Source organism: Homo sapiens, chromosome 5, assembly GCF_000001405.40.
Source record: "Homo sapiens chromosome 5, GRCh38.p14 Primary Assembly".
Taxonomy (NCBI): Eukaryota; Metazoa; Chordata; class Mammalia; order Primates; family Hominidae; genus Homo; species Homo sapiens.
Window position 1 is genome coordinate 91,208,697 of NC_000005.10, and position 20,438 is coordinate 91,229,134.

A 20,438-nucleotide genomic window follows, 5' to 3' on the forward strand; every position below is an offset into this window, starting at 1 on the left:
ACTTTTAATTTCCTGCAGGGAATTTTCTTTTTTTTTTTTTTTTTTTTCTGTTTTTGAGACGGAGTCTTGATCAGTCACCCAGGCTAGAGTGCAGTGGCGCAATCTCGGCTCACTGCAAGCTCCACCTCCTGGGTTCACGCCATTCTCCTGCCTCAGCCTCCTGAGTAGCTGGGACTACAGGCGCCCGCCACCACGCCCGGCTAATTTTTTTGTATTTTTAGTAGAGACAGGGTTTCACCATGTTAGCCAGGATGGTCTCGATCTCCTGACCTCGCGATCCACCTGCCTCGGCCTCCCAAAGTGCTGGGATTACAGGCGTGAGCCACCGCGCCTGGCGGAATTTTCCTTTGTAGTCACAGTTTGTTTGGCTTAGGCCACCCAGCTTTCAGACCATCTCAGCTTCTGACATGCCTTCCTCACTAAGCTTAATCATCTATAGCTTTGATTTAGAGTAAGAGATAATGAGAGTCTTCCCTTCACTTGAACATTTGGAAGCCATTGTAGGGTTACTAATTGGCCTAATTTTAATATTATTGTGTCTCAGGGAAGAGGGAGGCCTGAGGAGAGGGAGAGAGATAGGGGAACAGCCAGTGAGTGGAGCAGTCAGAACGCATACAACATTTATTGTTTGCTGTCTTCTGTGGATGCAGTTTGTGGCACCCAGAACAATTATGACACTAACATCAAAAATAAAGAATATTATAATAATAATGAAAAAGTTTGAAATATTGCAAGAACTACCAAAATGTAACAGAGACATAAAGTGAACACATGCTATTGAAAAAATGGCACCAATAGACTTGCTCAATGCAGGGTTGACACAAATCTTCAATTTGGAAAAAATGCATTGTCTTCAAAGCGCAATAAACCAAAGTGCAATAAAACAAGATGTGCACGTACCATCTGAAGGACCTACCTGAGGCTGTTTTGTAGATTATTTTTTTGTAAGTAAGATTACACTCTAAAATAATGATTTAACATACATTATAGTAAATGCATCAACCGGTAGCATAATCATTCATTACCATTATCAAGTATTATGTACTATACAAAATCATATGTGCTATACTTTTATATAACTGGCCACACAGGTTTGTTTACACAAGCATCACCACAAATACATGAGTAATGAATGCAGTGTGCTATGACATTATGACGGCTATGATGGCATGGCACTAGGCAAGAGTAATGTTTCAGCTCCATTTTAATCTTATGGAAGTATATGTGTTCCATTGTTGACCAAGATGTCATGATGCAGTGCATGACTATATATTATCTGTAGAAATGAGATTATTTGGAGTCAATTAAGGCTACTATACCATTACGTTTTTTAGAACTGTAGAAATCTAAATTAATATTTCTACAGGACTTTTTCACAGACATTTTCTCATAATAACCCAATTCTTTTAAAGAAAATAAGAAGTGGCTTGTTTTCATCACCACTAATCTATAAAACAAAGAAATAAATAAAAATACGGTTGGTTTATACTTCAGATATATATCTTTGGTGATTTTCATAGAATCAAAAAAAAAATGAGGCCTCAAAAGCCATCATTTTAACATTAATTTTCCCAAATTAAGCTCACTTAATAATTTTTGAAATTGTGTTTATTTTCAGTTGAGTGGAGTATATTCAGTAAATCAATTTGCAATGCATTTGTTGCATCTACATCTCTCTTGCTGGTATTTCTCCTCTCACAGAATGGTTAGCACAGAAGAGACTTCCTCCACGGGACCCTGGCTTAGAAATGGTTGCATTTCAGAGCCAAAGTAGTATAAGCTGCCAAAATGATTCTGAGCAATGGAAAAAGAGTCCTCATGTATCCCTCACAGCTCATTAAAGAGTTTGCCCCACCATTATCCCCAGGCTTTTCCATCTTCAATGTCTTCCCCTTAATTGCACCCATTTCTAATCTTGATGCACATTTTCAAATGTTTCTTCTTCTCGAGAGACTTTTTCCTCCATCCTGCATTTTTTGCAGTCTCTAGCCATTTTGGAAAATTTCTTGAAAGAAGACATTTCCACATCTGTGCCTTCTTCTCATTCACCATAATCTGGCCTCCACTCCCACTCTTCTACTAGACTTTTCCAAAAGGTCTCCAAGGACTTCTATAGGAGCAAGTATAGAAGCCTCTTCTGGGCCAGGCGCAGTGGCTCACATCTGTAATCTCAACACTCTGGGAGGCCGAGGCAGGTGGATCACCTGAGGTCAGGAGTTCGAGGCCAGCCTGGCCAAAATGGTGAAACCCTGTCTCTACTAAAAACACAAAAATTAGCTGGCTATGGTGGCGCACACCTGTAATCCTAGCTACTTAGGAGGCTGAGGCAGGAGAATCACTTGAACCCAGGAGGCAGAGGTTGCGGTGAGCCAAGATCACACCACTGCACTCCAGCCTGGGTGACAGAGTGAGACTCCATGTCAAAAAAAAAAAAAAAAAAAAAAAAACTGCTCCATGGCAGTGTTTCAAGTGCCTGCTGTGACTGTGCTGTTCTGGACGCCAAGCCTTGCTTTGGTGTTGTTTTCCTCCTACTTTTGTCTCTCCTTTCATTTGATTGGCTGCCAAAATGTAAGAGGCCTCTAAGCTTCCTCACTTAGCACTCCTTTTACCCCGGCTAATCTCTCTTGCTTTCATTCAGACCTGTACTGAGACTGCTATACACTGATAGTACTCCACAATTTATCCTCCCTTTTTTTGGTCTGTAAGAGTCTGAGCATTTTATTTTTTCCAAATGAAAGCTCAACATTTCCACTCAGATGTGCCTCAGTCACCTCAGAATCAGCATTTCAAAAACCAAACTTTTCTTTCTTTTTATTGTAGAGACAGGGTCTTGCTCTGTCTTCACCCAGGCTAGAGTGCAGTGGCATGATCATAGCTCATGGCAGCCTTTAAACTCCTGGGCTCAAGCAATCCTTCCGCCCCAGCCTCCAGAGCAGCTGGGACCATAGGTGTACACCACCATGCTCAGCTAGCAACCTTTTCTTTCTTCTGCAAATTTTTCTTCTGCCTATGTCTTGGGCCCTTTTTGGGTGAGTAACATCATCATCTCCCTACTCACACAAAATAAAGAACTGAAGTAAGCTCTGATGTTTGTTCCCACCTAAGCCCCTTCTTTAAATTGCTTAGTCTGTTTGTGAATTCATCCTGTCTTCTCCCTTTCCTCTGACTCTGCCCTTGCTCAGACTATCATCATCAATGTTCTGGACAATACTGGTAGCTCTGAACATGTCCCCTCACTTCCAATCTTTCCTAATACAGCACATCCTGATCCATACACAATGAGACTTTTATCTCTTAGCAATGATAAGATAGAATTCCTTGGAAAACATCACAAAACACTTTTGGTAGAAAAAAACCAAACACTGCTATGTTAAGAGACTACATAAACCCTAATCTGTATTCTGCATGATTTTTCACCGGAGGAATATTTCTGAAGTAAAAATATGTTCCATTACTCCCCTGCTAAAAACTCCAGAATAGCACTTCGCTGTCTTCAGAATCAAGATAGGAAGAAAAAGGGTCTGATTTTCCACTCCTACATTACTCCATCTATGCTAATTTGTGTTGAATTTCCAGACATATCTATGCTCTGTAATAACTCGGGGCTTGGGACCTTCAGTTTTTTCTGCCCAGAATGCCCACTTCCCATCCTGTCAGCTGTCTATTCATCCTTCATTATCCAGTTCCTTTTTACCTCTCAAGACTCAGTATCTCACCCTTCTCCTCAATGCTGACTCACTCAAACTAAGTCCGCATTGAACTCCCTCCTAAACTTCTTTTAATCTTTTGAAATTGCTCTTTCTTGCCTGCCGAGCCTTTGTACACACATTTCTCTCTGCCTCGAACACTCCCTCCTGCTTAGCCTGCCTGACACTTACCTAATCTTCAAAATTCACTTCAAATGTCATTTCCTCTGTCTCTGACTCCTCAAGCTGTCCTATGTACTGGGACCAGAGTATGCTTGATCACTTTCAAAGCACTGTACTGTATGGTGGTTTTTCTAACTCTATTTTCCTATTTGATTTTGAGTGTGGCATGTTAATTAGGGCAATGCTACTTATTGCAGGAGACAAACTCCTACATCTGAGTAGCTTAATATAATGGAGGTTTCTTTCTTTCCCATTGAAAGTCCAAACAGATGTTCCTAATTGTCAGGTGGCTCTACTCCAAGCATGAGTCAGGGTCCTAAATTCCATCCTGTGGCTCGGCCAGTTTCAATACATGTTCACTTTGAAAAAGAAGTTTTATGGGCCAAGCCTGCTGGTGCCTCACATGACCACTGCCCATAAGTCACATGGCCACACCCAATTATAAGAGGGACTGGAAAAAGTAGTTAAGCTGTCCACCTAGGAAGAAGAGGAAATGCTGTGATGTACAGACATCTAGTCTTTGCTGGAGCTAGGCTCTGCTTTTTCTCTCTCTATCGCCAGTACCTGTCATGGACCTGACCCATATTTGTTGAACAAATGAGTGAATGAAAAGCATAAAAGATTCATAAAAGATCTTATATTTTAACTTAGCACTTCCAGTAGTTTTTTTGGTTGTTGTTGTTTTGTTTTGTTTTTGTTTGTTTGTTTGTTTGAGACAGAGTCCTGCTCTGTCACCCAGGCTGGAGTGCAGTGGCACAATCGGCTCACTGCAAGCTTCGCCTCCCGGGTTCACGCCATTCTCCTGCCTCAGCCTCCCGAGTAGCTGGGACTACAGGTGCCCGCCACCACGCCCGGCTAATTTTTTGTATTTTTAGTAGAGACGGGTTTCACCATGTTAGCCAGGATGATCTCGATCTCCTGACCTCGTGATCCGCCCGCCTCGGCCTCCCAAAGTGCTGGGATTACAGGCGTGAGCCACCGTGCCTGGCTCCAGTAACTTTTAAAGAGCACTTAGACTCCCAAATCCACTTAAAAAAAAGTCTTCTCTTTTTTCTATACCCAATGAAATAAAAATAGGTTTTTAAAGGAAGAAATATAAAACAAGTTGTAATTGGTGGCATGTACTACCATAGCAAAAGTCCTTACTCAAGTGACTGACACGGAAAAATCACCCTGATGTGGTTTGTCTCTGTGTCCCCCTCAAATTTCATTTCGAATTGTAATCCCCACATGTTGGAGGAGGGGCCTGGTGGGGGATGATTGGATCATGGGGGTGGATTTCTCCCTTGCTATTCTCATGATAATGAGTGAGTTCTCATGAGATCTGATGGTTTAAAAGTGTGGCACTTCCCTTCGCTCCCTCTCCTCCTGCCACCATGTAAGATATGCCTTGCTTCCCCTTCACCTTCTGCCATGATTGTAAGTTTCCTGAGACCTCCCCAGCCATGCAGAACTGTAAGTCAATTAAACATCTTTTGTTTATAAATTATGCAGTCTGAGGGTAGTATCTTTATAGTAGTGTAAGAACATATTAAAACACATCCCTCTGGAAATTTAATAATGATGGTAGTTGTATTTGTTTCCTAGGGCTACTGTAACAAAGTCCCGCAAAGTAGGTGGCTTAAGTAGGAGAAATTCATTGTCCCACAGTTCCAGAAGCTAGAAGTCCAAGATCAAGGTGTCAGCAGGATTGGTTCCTTCAGAGGGCTGTGAGGGAGAATCTGTCCCATGCCTCTCCCCTAGCTTCTGATGGTTTTCTGGCAATCTTTGGTGTTCCTTGGCTTCTGCAATATCACCCCAATCTCTGCCTTCATGTTCATATGGCATTCCCCCATATGCATATCTGTATCCAAATTTCCCCCTTTGTAAGGATACCAGTCATATTGGATCCGGGCCCACTCTACTCCAGTAGGTCCTCATCTAGCCAACTACATCTGCAACAACCCTATTTCCAAATAAGGTCACATTCTGAGATGCTAGGGATTAGGACTCCAGCATGTGAATTTTTGAGGGACAGAACTCCACCTACAGTGGGGGGGTTATGAAGCTCAGATGTATTAGCCTCCCTGTTTGTCCTTACTTTGAGATAAAGCTTAAAAAGAATCTTGTCATCCAAATTAGACTCTTTTCTGCCAAAGGGCAGCATTCTGACTGAAGAGGAAGGTTGGGATGGAAGGCAGCCATGGCATCCAAGGCACGGGCCCCACGTGAAACAACAGTAATACTAAGAATTTACTTTCGTAACTGATAGCTCTTAGAAAAAGAGGCGTATTTGTAACCCCAGTTACAGTACTTTGCTTTGACTGAAAAGTCAATTTCAACTGTTCATTATGAGCACATTCCTTTTCCCTGAAGTTCCATCAAAATGCAAATATAGACATGTGGGACATGAGGGATCTTCTTGCTTTAACAAACACATATACAAAATGATTTCTAGCAATTAAAATGACAGCTTCAATAATCATCTGATCTCTCACATCATCTGCCCCTTGAATCATAAATATAGTCATGAGAGAGCCTTCAAAAACATTAATTGGAGCAAATGATGTATTTTCTCATTTTCTTTAGAGTTTTCCTCAAAAATTTCATAGAAGCATCAAATTAATGAGCTTGAAACAATTGTGGGAATTGTTCAGTGTAGGGATTTCGAGGGGTGCTCAGGAAAGCCCTGAGAGTTCATTCAAGTCCAGAAGGGTAGAGGCATGTGTGGTGGGTGGGTAGAGTAGTGGGGCAATGGGGAGGAGACTGGGAGGAAAGAGATTCTGGACAGTTGGCCCACCTGCAGCCCACCTGATCAGGGCACTCTCCTTTCATCTAATGTACATATTGTTGCTATGTTTGAAGAAAGTATTTCACATTTTATAAAAGTAAGAAAATTTAGACCCAGAGAAATTGTGATTTATTGAAATTCCTGTAGCTAGCCAAGTGAGCAGCAGAGCTGAATGAGAATCAAAGTTTTCTTCTGTCCATCCATACATACTAAGCTACATCTCTCCCAACTTCATACAAATGCAAGAAGGAAACTCACTACAGGTTCATTTAAGGCAAATATGCTGTCTGCCTTGATCTGGTGATTTATGACAACTCAATCCATGTCTTCATAAAAATAACCAAGCTGGCTAGGTGCAGTGTGGCTCATGCCTGTAATCCCAGCACTTTGGGAGGCCAAGGTGGGCGGATCATGAGGTTAGGAGTTCAAGACCAGCCTGGCCAACATGATGAAACCCCATCTCTACTAAAAATACAAAAATTAGCCAGGTGTGGTGGCAGGCGCCTGTAATCCCAGCCACTCGGGAGGCTCAGGCAGGAGAACTGCTTGAACTGGGGGGACGGAGGGGGCAGTGAGCAGAGATCACGCCATTGCCCTCCAGCCTGGAAGCCTGGGTGATAGAGCAAGACTTCGTCTCTAATAATAATAATAATAATAATAATAATAATAATAACCTAAGCCTAAATTGGGGCATTTTTAGCTTAGCCCTTTCAACATAAAATATTTTTATGATATAAAGATGTAACTTTTATGTAATGACTATTATATTTCAAGTTAATCACAGATCTAGACCTTTATTCTTCACCTGCAATTCTTTTCTTTCAGCTCAATGAAGAGCATCTAATTTTTAAAGGACCAGTTAGGGCCAGGCGTGGAGGCTCACGTCTGTAATCCCAGCACTTTGGGAGGTTAAAATGGGTGGATCACTTGAGGCCAGGAGTTTGAGACTAGCCTGGCCAACAAGGGAAGACTCCGTCTCTACTAAAAATACAAAAATTAGCCAAGCGTGGTGGTGCACCCCTGTAATCCCAGCTACTTGGGAGGCTGAGGCATGAGAATGGTTTGAACCCAGGAAGTGGTAATGGGGTGAGCAAAGATCATGCCACTGCACTCCCACCTGGGTGACAGAGTGAGACTCTCTGTCTCAAAAAAAAGGCCCAATTAGCACAACTGAAACTGATCCAGCCAGAGAAGTGTTCCATCAGGTAAAACATTACATAAGGTTAAGTTCACTGGGCATTAGTTAAATGGGCTATTTTAAATAAATATACTCCCTGTGTTACATTTTAATATGAGCAATCTCTTTCTTACATGTGCCCAAGTGGTCCTGGAAATTCCCTCCTCTTCCCTCCACATGGCAGCCACTCATTCTTATTTAGGGTAGAGATGAATAACACTTAGAGAGGAGCAGGGATGGCAAAAGGAAAGGAGGGGCCAGGCACAGTGGCTCATGCTTGTAATCCTAGGGCTTTGAGAGGCCGAGATGGGAGGATCGCTTGAGGCCACGAGTTCGAGGTCAGCCTAGTCAACATAGCAAGACCTCATCTCTATTTTTAAAAAAATTGACTAATTAATAATAATAATTTAAAAATAATAAAAGGAAAGGAGGCTCTCTTCCTCTTTGCAAAGAAGAAAAGGAAGGAGTTAAACACAGAAAAGGAAAAGGATCAAGGATTTGGAGAGATGAAAAATCATTTTTTCATTCCCCTAACAATCTTGGTTGAGGAAATCCAGGTGGAAGGAAAGGTGGAAGGGGGAAGAGAGAATGGAGAAAGATTGGAGGGAGAAAGCAGTCACAATAATAAGACACAGCTCATTATAGCTGTGGTTCTCCTTAACTCCTGGTTGTCCTCTCACCCAAGAACACATTTCAATTAGCTTGAGTGAGACAGAAGAGTTTATTGGGCAGATACAAAAATATCTTATAGAAAGCACACTCAGACCACAGGAGGGATTGGTATCTACAACAGCAAATTGATAAGCTGTAGGGAAAATTCTTTCCCTCTGGCTTTCTTGCTGGTTTTCTCTATTTCTCCCTTCCTCATCTATTCCTTCTCCCTCTCCCTCCCCATCTCCAACCCATGGTTCCTCATCTCTTCTCCCTGTGTGTTTTTCCTTCTTCCTCTATGTGTGCTGTTCTCTGCCGGTCCATTCGCGAGATAGGCCTGGCTTCCTGTAGCTCCAGGGAATCTCTTCATTTCAAACAACCAGTAGTTAACTGGTATTCTTGTCCCAGGTCCAAACTCTCAAGTTGAAATATTTAGTTGGCCTAGCCTAGATCAGGTGTCCACCATGGTTCCATGAGATCTGGTCAGTTAGTTCCATCTAACTGCCAAGGTATCTACTTTTGTTGGGGAGTTGGGAGAGACACCAAGTAGCAGAAAGGGGAATTACGGACTAAACAAGCAGCTTCATTTAGTTCTACAACCCTTTGCAACCTTGTCCCAGGCTCTTGCGTGGTGTCCTTAGTCTCCAGCCCCTATCCCAAGAGTTTTCAACCTCTTACAACACTGTTTCTCACGGTGTTGTCCAGGTCGCTTGCATCAAAGTGTGTTCATTAAAAATGTGGATACCTAAGCCCCTTACTCCAGACCTATTCCAGAAGCCTTGTGTGTTAAATACACCTTAGGGACTGGTTTGAAAATCTCAGTGCTAAGAAGACTGTATTGGAAAACTCACTCTGAGTTTTGAATAAACTTTTGAAATAATAATTATAGATATAATTATGATATTAATAGATAATATTTATTAAATATTATAATAATAATCCTATAAATAATTATGTTATATAATTATAGATAATATATATTATTTTATAAATAACTATTATAGATAATATTTATTATAAATAATTATTATTACAGATATTTATTATAGATAATAAATGTAAAACACTAGTTATAAAAAGTATATAGCACTCTCTAGATTAAAAGGATATTTATTTTTGAATTTCAGAAAGTACAGAGAAGTTGCTATTATGCCAAAAGTAATATGCAGAATTTTCTTCTTTATTTACATGCCATACCATTTACTTTGTGCATCCACAATTCCTATTAAGTCTGTAAGGAGCCCAAGAAATCTGCATTAGTGTTTATCACATTTCTGGCTTTTTCACAGCCATCTTGATGAGTCCCTATTCTGAGTTTATTTTCTCTTCATTTCTAGCTCTATCTAGATAATCCTAACATGTTTATCTCAATACAACTATGTACTAGGTCTCAACATCAAATGCCACTGCCACTCTCCTATGAAAGTCATCTACAACAAAACTTACGCTAGTCCTCCTTACCTACGGATTGATCATCAGTACACACTCATTTTCTCTGACTAAATTCTCTCCTTCACTATTTCTCCAAGCTTGTGCTTCTCAAATTTGGATACATACATTTCCAGGGAGGTATAATTTTAGATCAGGAGCCATAAGACAATGTTTCTCACTGGAGCATTTATTTAAGTGAGGATTTGGATGATTAAATAACTTAACTGGAAAGCAACTATATGAGTTATTTTTGTCTTAAATAAGACCTGGATATGTTAAATAGAAAGATACAAATTTACATTAAATTTTAAGAAAAAAGGTGGGCCTTCAAAAAATATGTGCTATGTCCTCCAAGTTCCCAATCTTGGGTGCCTTATTTACTTGATAATATGTTATCAGTTTAGCTGATCTTCTTGAAACACACACATTCAACAACTATGCAAGTACTAGTTTAAACGATAAGAAAAGCTTGCAGAAAAATGTCAGTCAGGCCCAGCATATCATCTCCCCTTTCTATCTCATTCTAACTGAATCCCAAGGGTCGCTGGTTTTCAAGGGGTTGGGTCAGAGCCAAAAGAAAGCAATTTCATTTTCAAGTAAGTGTAGCATTCAGTAGATCTTGAGCAAAGTAAATATCCTCGGAGCTGGTTTCATAATAGGTTCCTCCTATGAAGACTGGCTCCAACCAGTTCTTGGGAAACGTGCTTACAGACAAGAATTGCCCAACTGATTTCAGTAGACAAGAAAGTACACAGGGCAGCAGAGGTCAAGCCAATGACTGTACAGCCTATACACATCTTTATGGATAAATTAATCCCCAAAACAATGGCACATACTTACTTAGTATTAAGACTTAGATAACACAATCTAAAGAGCTCAAGGCATTCTTCATAAAAACTTAAAAGTAAACAATGATGTTCATTCTTTTCTGGCTGACAGGGTGAAAATTACCTCCATGGGGCTTGGCCATACAGATAGCTTGAGTAGACAGCTGCCCACACAGTGTAATTTGAGGGGAGCCACAAGGTTCTGTCTGTTGGAAAACATATTCCCCTTTGATTTCTCAGAGCATAGCCTTCCCCAGATTCCTGGCTTCCATTCTCACCATTAGTCACCAGAGTTAGATACTAAGTAGAAGCAGTACGTCCATAAAGTCATTGCGGAAATGTATACTTAAATGACCTGAGAGGGGCATTGGGTTTTTTCCCATTTATACAATAAAACACATTCACACATTAACATGGATTAGTTTACCTTGGTTAATTGTCAATCTGGAAAGCAAATGCTAGGATTCTGATGGCATGTGACATAAAATAGTAAGCTTTTGATGACAATTGAGGCATGGGTTTCATGGGAATCAGAAGACCTGGTTGGGCCCAGCAGAGGGCACTCTAGGAAACCAGCACAAGAAGATTAGACACAACATAGTAGAGATAGACTTACTAAATTTAGCTTTTTATTCCTTTGTAATTTTTGCTAAGCCAGCCCCGACCACCACAAAGCAAATAGGACCACTTTAAAGTTAACTGGTCATGAGTAGAGTGCCCAGGAGGCAGCAAATTGCTTCTGAATTCTGAAAGTGCCAAAACAATCGTCATCATCATCATCATCACCACTACTAAAAGCCATATACATTTCTCAATAGCTTCTGGTAGAATCAATCGCTTTCATCCCTCTGGTGGGTAATATAAAGGAGCTGGCAGAAAACATGGAGAAAGAGAATTAGAAAGGCCAGAGGAAACTCACAACTGATAAGCAGAGGCTGGGGATGGTAGTAAAAAGACAGCTAAGGCTGAACACAGAGGTTCATGCCTATAATCCTAGCACTTTGAGAGGCCAAGGCAGGAGGATCACTTGAGCTTGGGAGTTCAAGACCAGCCTGGAGCCAGGCGCGGTGGCTCACACCTGTAATCCCAGCACTTTGGGAGGCCAAGGTGGGTGGATCACCTGAGGTCAGGAGTTTGAGAGCAGCCTGGACAACGTGGTAAAACCCTGTCTCTACTAAAAATACAAAAATTAGCCGGGCATGGTGGTGCGTGGCTGTAATCCCAGCTACGTGGGATGCTGAGGCAGGAGAATCGCTTGAACCTGGGAGGCAGAGGTTGTAGTGAGCCGAGATTACGCCACTGCACTCCAGCCTGGGTGACAGAGTGAGACTCTGTCTCAGAAAGAAAGAAAGAAAGAAAGAAAAAGAAAGAAAGAAAGAAAGAAAGAAAGAAAGAAAGAAAGAAAGAAAGAAAGAAAGAAAGAAAGAAAGAAAGAAAGAGAAAGAAAAAAAGACCAGCCTGGACAACATAGCGACACCCCATCTGTACAAAAAATACAAAAATTAGCCAAGTGTGGTGGTGCACACCTGTAGTCCCAGCTACTAGGAAGGCTGAAGTGGGAGGACTGCTTGAGCCCAGGAGGTCGAGGCTGCAGTGAGCCGAAATTACACCACTGCACTTCAGACAGGGTGACAGAGCGAGACCCTGTCAAAAAAAAAAAAGACAGCTAAGATAACATCGTCACTGATTGCCACGTAAAGTAGATTGCTGGAATGGCTACAAAATTCTTTTACTATCTGACACTGGTTTGTTCACATACCTGTAAAGTATTTATAGAAATTCACAGATAGATCAGGTAGAGCCAGATCAGTTAACTCTTAGAGAGCCAGAGGACACTTTCTCCACACAGCAAATCAAATTGTTCCTGAGGAAAAGCATGGAGTTCACTTTAGGTACACAAAGATAATCCCAACATAGACTTGACAGTGTGCTTGCTGTAAAAATGAGTTTTGAAAAATTATCAAAAAAATTAATAATCAGTGATCATGTAGAGCAAAACACAGGTATCCAACACATTAGGTTAATGCAAAAGGAATTGCGGGTTTTACCGTTTTAAAAGTAATACAGCAAGGCCAGGCGCAGTGGCTTATGCCTGTAATCCCAGCACTTTGGGAGGCCGAGGTGGGTGGATCACTTGAGGTCAGGAGTTCGAGACCAGCATGGCCAACATGGTGAAACCCTGTCTCTACTAAAAATACAAAAATTAGCTGGGCGTGCTGGCGGGTGCCTGTAATCCCAGCTACTGGGGAGGCTGAGGCAGGAGAATCACGTGAACCCACGAGGCGGAGGTTGCAGTGAGCTGAGATTGCACCACTGCACTCCAGCCTGGGTGACAGAGTGAGACTCCATCTCAAGAAAAAAAAAAAAAAAAAAAGCCAGTTGCACCTATAATCCCAGCTACTCAGGAGGCTGAAGTGGGAGGATCGCTTGAGCCTAGCAGTTTGAGGCCAGCCTGGGGAACAAGGTGAGACCCCCATCTCCAAAGTAACAAGAATAATAATAATAAAAATAATAATTTGTCTTTAACAATGATCCTATCTTCTGACCTAAACCAATATAAAAGTGTTAATCTTTGATGAGAGAAGAGGATATAGGGAAGGTCAAGGGCTAGAATTGTCCCTGTCACTGTATTTATTATACCTTTTGTTGTTTATCTTGCTCCACTGTACTGTATACATTTTCTGTGTGCAGAGACAAAGTGCTTGGGCTTGGTAAATGCTCAGTAAACATTGATTGATTGAATAAACACAATACTTTACTTAGGGCTGAGGTAGAACTTGAGTGATAGCACAATTGGAGGTGATAGGAGGAAATCTAGTCAGGCTGATGGAACTTGGTGCACAGTATGTGTGCTTACGGGCAACAGGTATCAGTGATATCCAAAAAAGAAGTTCTCGACAAGCCATTGGTCAAATGGCAGAAGCCCAAATATGGGAAATCCAGAAGTGGCAGCACGCAAAAGTACATGTACATGGAGAGATAGAATTAGGAAAATCTGTCAGCCAATAGCCAAATCCCGCCATTGGATTGGTGTCAGAGGAGATTACAGTCATTGAGAAGGCATCCACATCAACAAGGCAGAGGCCAGGTTCTAGAATATAAAGTTATCAAGATAGAAATACAGATGTTTTTAGAAGTGGGAGCTTCCAAAACCAGGTTAAACGGAAGCAGTGGTTCGGTTTCATTAAGAAGGAAAGCAATAGTAGCAGTCTGGCAACAGATGTTATTGGTCCATTTTACAGATCAGAAAGCTGAGGCTCAGTGAGAATATGTAAACTTGTCGAAGGCCATACAGCTAATTTAAATTCGTGATTCTGGTTTAAAAATAAAGCCTACCTATGTCGGGTGTGGTGGCTCACACCTGTAATTTCAACACTTTGGGAGACAGAGGTGAGTGGATCACTTGAGATCAGGAGTTCAAGACCAGCCTGGCCAACATGGTGAAACCCCATATCTACTAAAAATACAAAAATTAGCCAGGTGTGGTGGCACACACCTGTAATCCCAGCTACTCAGGAGGCTGAGGCAGGAGAACCGCTTGAACCCGGGAGGCAGAGATTGCAGTGAGCTGAGATCATGCCACTGCACTCCAGCCTGGGCAATAGAGTGAGACTCTGTCTCAAAAAAAGATGTCAAAAAAAAAATAAAATAAAGCCTAGCTAAATCCAAATCCAATTATTCTTCTTTTTCTTACTTTAGCCTGTAACTCTTAAAAATTTAGTTACTGGAACTGGTAAGTCAGACTAGCTTTGTAACTCGATTTTGAATCTTTCAGACATCTTGCAGCACTGGACTAGAACTCCTCAAATTAGCTCTTAATGGTTGCAGAGCTGGGGATGGAGCTGAAACTACAACAATGGTTCTCAACCTTGCCTGCACATTGGAATTATCTCCAGTGTTTAAAAAATGCAGATGCCTAGGTTCCACCACCAGAGATGATAATTTAATTGATCTGAGGTATGGCTCATGCATCAGGACTTTTTTTTTTTTTTTTTTTGAGACGGAATCTCGCTCGGTCGCCAGGCTGGAGTGCAGTGGCGCAATATCAGCTCACTGCAACCTCCGCCTCCCGGGTTCAAGAGATTATCCTGCCTCAGCCTCCTGAGTAGCTGAGCCTACAGGCATGCGCCACCACACCCAGCTAATTTTTGTATTTTTAGTAAAGAAGGCGTTTCACGATGTTGGCCAGGATGGTCTCAAACTCTTGACCTCGTGATCTGCCCACTTCGACCTTTCAAAGTGCTGGGATTTACAGGCGTGTGCTACTGTGCCTGGCCACATCAGGATTTCTTAGGGTCCCCCTAGATGATTCTAATGTGCATCCAAGCTGGAAACTACTGGCTTAGAAGCAGAAGTCAAGAGGCCTCAGCTGTTTGCAGAGGAAACCTATGGTCGCTTGTATATTTCAATGGGATAGGAAAAATACTAGAAGACTCATGGGCTTGCATTTTTTTTTTCTTGAACAAGTGGACCATAGCCGACTCTTTGTTTTTCCAGTTTAACCTTAGAAAATATGCCCAAAGTCAACAGGTATACAATTAACCTTACAAGTCAAATGGTTCCATGTTCTTAGATTCTAAGTGCTAGTTGTGTGTGACCCTAGGCAAGGTTTTAGAACTGAATCTCCCAAATTGCTCATTACTATTCTATGCTTGGCTAAAACTCTTACATCACCCCACAATGGAATGTGACCCAAGTCAAGAAGAAAACAAAAACATTTGTGTTGTTTTCATGATTAGTAATGGGAATGAAGAAGGATTGAGGTATCTCAAAACAACTTGTACTTTTCCCAAACTATTTAAGACCTGATTCATGTAATACTTACTAATCTTGATGCCTACAAATGATACAGTACATGTATAATTTCTGGATGTGTAAATTCTAGACATTTAATTTGCTTGGACCAAATCCTAATCATAGAACTTGTTTATTATTTAAGGTACACACTTAATACAGCAAATACAACAAGTTTCCTATCGCCAGCTTCCATGATCAGAATTCTTGTGCACAGCTCCCTAATAGGAAACAATTAATTATACAATAAATACATGTTTGTTTAGGGTCACTATACATCTTTGTGTGCCTGGAATTGTCCTGGTTTACACCTGTCATTCCAGAATAATTATTAATAGCACCCTCTCTCACTCTCAAAATTGTTTCATTCTTGGTGATAAATTTTCTGGGTACCCTTACACATAGCTCACTCAATCTGCCCTTGCTCTGAAACCACTATAGTGATACATCATGTTTGGAATGTGGTCTATTTCTATTTTGAACACTCCAATAGCTATTCAAGAAAATAAGGCCATTGAAACATTAATCAGTGGATCAACATGTCTTCTTTACATTTTTAAAGAAACATAGAACTGCTTGAACAAATAGGAAACAAATAACAAACTGATAGACATAATCCTAAATATATCGGTAATTACATTTATTCCAGCATAAATGAACTGTAAGTAATTGTATTGTCAATCGATTAACAACGTGATGATAAAACACCATTTCCTCAAGCACAAGGTGATAGTGTGGGTTTCTTGTGGCTGCATAGTTGTCTTTCTCCTTGAACGTGCTCCATCTGGCAATGTCACAAATATCACACAGTCCTCTGAATAATTAGACTACCTAGACAAAGTTTTGAAGCATTATTATCTAGCACTGATCAACCAAAAGTACATACTTGTCCAGCATGGAAACTCCTTGACTCAATCAGCACATCTGACCTGGATGAAATCCAAAAACTGAACAGGTTGTAGGTTTTGCTACCTCTGGCACATAGCCAAAACTTGTGGTATGATTTATCTCAAACTATGAACAGTATATGCAGATAGTGGTTCAAGACTAGCGTGACCAAAATAAGGTTTTGAAAGAGAAGGGGGACACCATAATAATTACACTAGCCCAAAATGGATAATTTGAGACTGTCTTGGGTAAACCAGACTACAGTCACTCTAGTCAAGACAAAAAAGAAAAAAGAAAAAGAAAGCAGGACATTGCATTTTATCTACTTCCAAATCCAAGGATTGCTCTTCTAACCAAATCAGGCTGCATTTAGAGAGATGGGTCACAGTTAACAAAATGATTTCTGTATTTCATGGTGTACTCTCATTTCCTTGTTTTATTTATCTTCCAAGTATGTTCTTTTATAGAAGTATATTTTATGGCAACATCAATGAGCAAGAAAATGTCTTGGGGAAAAGTGTCCAAGATAATAAAGGTTCTGGAGAAAAAGAGTCATTTGAGAAATGGGGTGCATTATTTGTATGAAATCTGACTTCAAACACTGTAAGGAGTGTCATTTTTAAGTAGGAATGGGCACGTGCTGAACTCCACGGAGCAGAGCATAAACAGATAGATGTTTTTAAAATCCAAGGAAGCAAATTTTAATTCCACATAAGGAAGAACTTTAACACTTACTGGCAACAGAATAAGTTGCTGAATAGAATAGAAAATATATCAGTATGGGAAGTATACAAGTAGAAGCTCAGTAGCCATCAGTAGTGTTACAGAGGAATTTTGTTTGTTTGTTTGTTTGTTTGTTTTTGAGACAGGGTCTCACTCTGTCACCCAGGATGGAGTGCAGTGGCACAATCACAGCTCACTGCAGCCTCAGCCTCCCAGGCCCAACCAATCCTCCAATCTCAGCCTTGCAGTTAGCTGGGATGACAGGCGTGCACCACCATGCCTGGCTAATTTTTAAATCTTCTGTAGAGGTGTGTTGGGGTAGGGGGAGGGGTTGGTCTCCCTATGTTCCCCAGGCTGGTCTCCAACCCCTGGGCTCAAGCAATGCTCCTGCCTCAACCACCCAAAGTGCTGAGATTACAGGTGTGAACCACTGCGCCCGGCTTCAGAGGAGTTTTGATGCACCAGGTGGCGCTGGTAATTTAAGGTTCTCTCGTGAAATTGGTCTTTTCACCTGGCCAGCATCTTATTCCTTCTTCTGGTAACAGCATCCCATTGTTCTTTGTTGAACCACCTCTCCCCCATTTCTACAAGGTATGGTAGAGCTAAAATCATCCTCAGCTTCCAGAAATGGGCATCTGATCCTTATATAGACATTCAGTGACTTTTATCTCGTTGGCCAAGAAAGGGCACATGGTCCACGCTCGGAAAATTTGAAGCAGTCCTAAGACTTTTAAGGAAACTATTGGGAAAAAGAAATCGTTTCCTTTACAGGTTGCTGAAAGGGTAAGAGGTAGGCCCAGAACTTCTGGCAACTATCTTGCTAGCAAGTCGGGTAGGGCTTGCCTGAGAATGACACCAATACAGAGGAAACTATAGCCAAGCAGTGGAGAGAGGGAGACTGAGTCCTGGCTCTTTTTTTAGCCCATACATCTAATAATGTCTGAAGCCAGATTAACCTCTGGATTTTTAAGTTCTGTGTGTCAAGACATTCCCTTTCATTTTTAAGCCAGTTTGAGTTCAGTTTTTAAAAATTATTTGAAACAGAAAGAATCCTGAATAATACAGGTCCCTTCCAACAAAATAAAACTTGATTATACTAACATGTACTCTATATATCTAGCTTGGCAGATTTCTAGTTATTTCTAGTAGATTTCTAACATTTCTAGTAATGCTTTGATGGTAGTTAGATGCAGTTACTTGCTGTAAGTAATTGGAAATAATAAAACCTCATTGTTTTAAAAGTGAGTATTTCACATTGATATAGACAATCTTTCCCATTTCATTTGAATTAATGAGATGTTGCTGCACAATATATGCTTGGTTTATCTTATGCTGGTGATCCTCAACCTGGGGCTCCTAGAAGTGGTAATGTTAACGAATGCATTTTACTTAATATTAAAATATTTTAAAGTACGAGGTCCATGGCTGACTTTTAAAAATAAATATTTGTAAAGGGGTTGTTTAAAAAGAATTTTTAAAAAGGAATTCATAACAGTAGTAAAATATTGGGAAATGCCTCAACAAATGCTATGGTAGTTGATATCATGGTTTCTAGCAACTCTAGCTGGAGTTAAGCAGGAAAGGAATTTATTAAAAGGATAGTGAATAATTTGTAAACACATTGGCAGGGCTGGAGAGCCCAATTTCAGGATAAAATCTGAAAGTTTCACACTAAGTTTAGCTTTATTGTTTATAAGGAAGTAATATTAATAGGTGTCTTTGCCATAGTCACAAGAAAAAAGACCCCTGTTCTTGATTTCTTCCATCACTAACCCTTAAAGTCCAGTTCTGAACCTAACTAAGTCTCATGACAATAAACTGTCTTCAAAAGAAGCTGTTAAATGTCTGGCATTGTTAGCCTCATTAGCGATAGACTCTTTTTGCCCCACACCAAGATTCATGAGTAGGAATTCTCAAATAGAGTATAGAATGGGACTTGGTTGCCATACAGTCAAAATGAATCACGAATGTCCACTATAAGCCAAACTTCCGGCAGCTCAACACCAACTTACAAGCTTCTCCCCATGCTTAAAGTTCCAGGAAAAAAAAATGTTCCTACTTAACTTAAAGTAACTATTCTTCCTCATATAAAAGGGACCAGTTGAAGTTTCATCCAGATCAAAATTCAGGCATTCTGGAAGATATCCAATTATTCTGGAATTGTGCCATGGTATTGTCTCAATATTCTGTAAACTATGGACTAATTTGTAAAAGCCACTATTAATAAAGAAATAATAGAACGGAGATACAAGGTAGGAAAAACAGTTAAGATTTATACATATATACATGAAAGAAAATATGGGTAGGTGTTACAGTCTTATTTCTATAATTCGTCTTGGTGCTGTATTTGCACTGATGACTCAACTCCTCTATTATCAATTTCAAGTTTCTTTTCCCCTCAACCAAGGATTTACCTATACCTTGATCCTGAGAAAGCTGTCCCTTGATCATTCTTCCCATACTGGGTTGCTGTGGATTTCCTTTAACTTTTGATGCTGGACATGGCAGTATTAAGAAGCACCCCAGAGGATTGCTGGATTTCTACCAACACCCTTCTTGATCCTATTGCATAATAGCAACACTGTTTCCCCATTATAGCTAGAATCATCATTTCTGTCATATCATAGTCTTCTTTTGACTTTTCATCCTGTGGTTTTAGAATTGGAAACGAAAAAGTGGCAAACTCAGTTTCCAATGCAATTAAGCCAGTGTTTACTTGGTACCCTGTGGAAGCAACCCTCCTTTGGCCTCTAAGACCCCCTAAACCAGCAGAGCCCAGGGGGACTGGAGTGTGATGCAAGCTTCTGTGATTCAGCCACTATGTGATTTTATGAGAGGTGTCATTCCAGTTCTGCCCCTTAATTGCTAAATTCATGCATTCAGGCCATGGAAGCATTGGTACCATAAAATTGTCACAGCTTCAGACCACATACCATATTTCATATGCTAGCACCCCAACTGCACAACGTGTTAACTTCTGGCTGGCATCATAGTTGAATATTTGGTATCCCATCTTATAGTTTTATAAGGCAGACTGCTACCATGTATCATGAGATACATGGTAAAGTCAGTAATCCCATCAACTTTAATCCATTTTCTTATTTTTAACTTTCTCAATTAGAAGTTATACTGTATGGTACTTCTTGATGGAGAATACATTTAATAAGTCTATAAATGGTAAGGCTGACAGAAACATATGGGGAAGAAAAAGCAAATACAGTAGTCCCCCCTTATCCATTGTTTTGCTTTCCAGTTTCAGTTATCTGCAGTCAATAGTGGTCCAAAAATATTAAGTGGAAATTCCAAAA

The 20,438-nt window shown here is 40.6% G+C and overlaps 1 long non-coding RNA gene across 1 annotated transcript in view; it reads right to left on the reverse strand.

Moving 5' to 3' along the window:
- The window catches only part of LOC107986432 (uncharacterized), a 113,452-nt gene that overhangs the window by 56,875 nt on the left and 36,139 nt on the right, over positions 1-20,438 (reverse strand). The window lies entirely within an intron of this gene.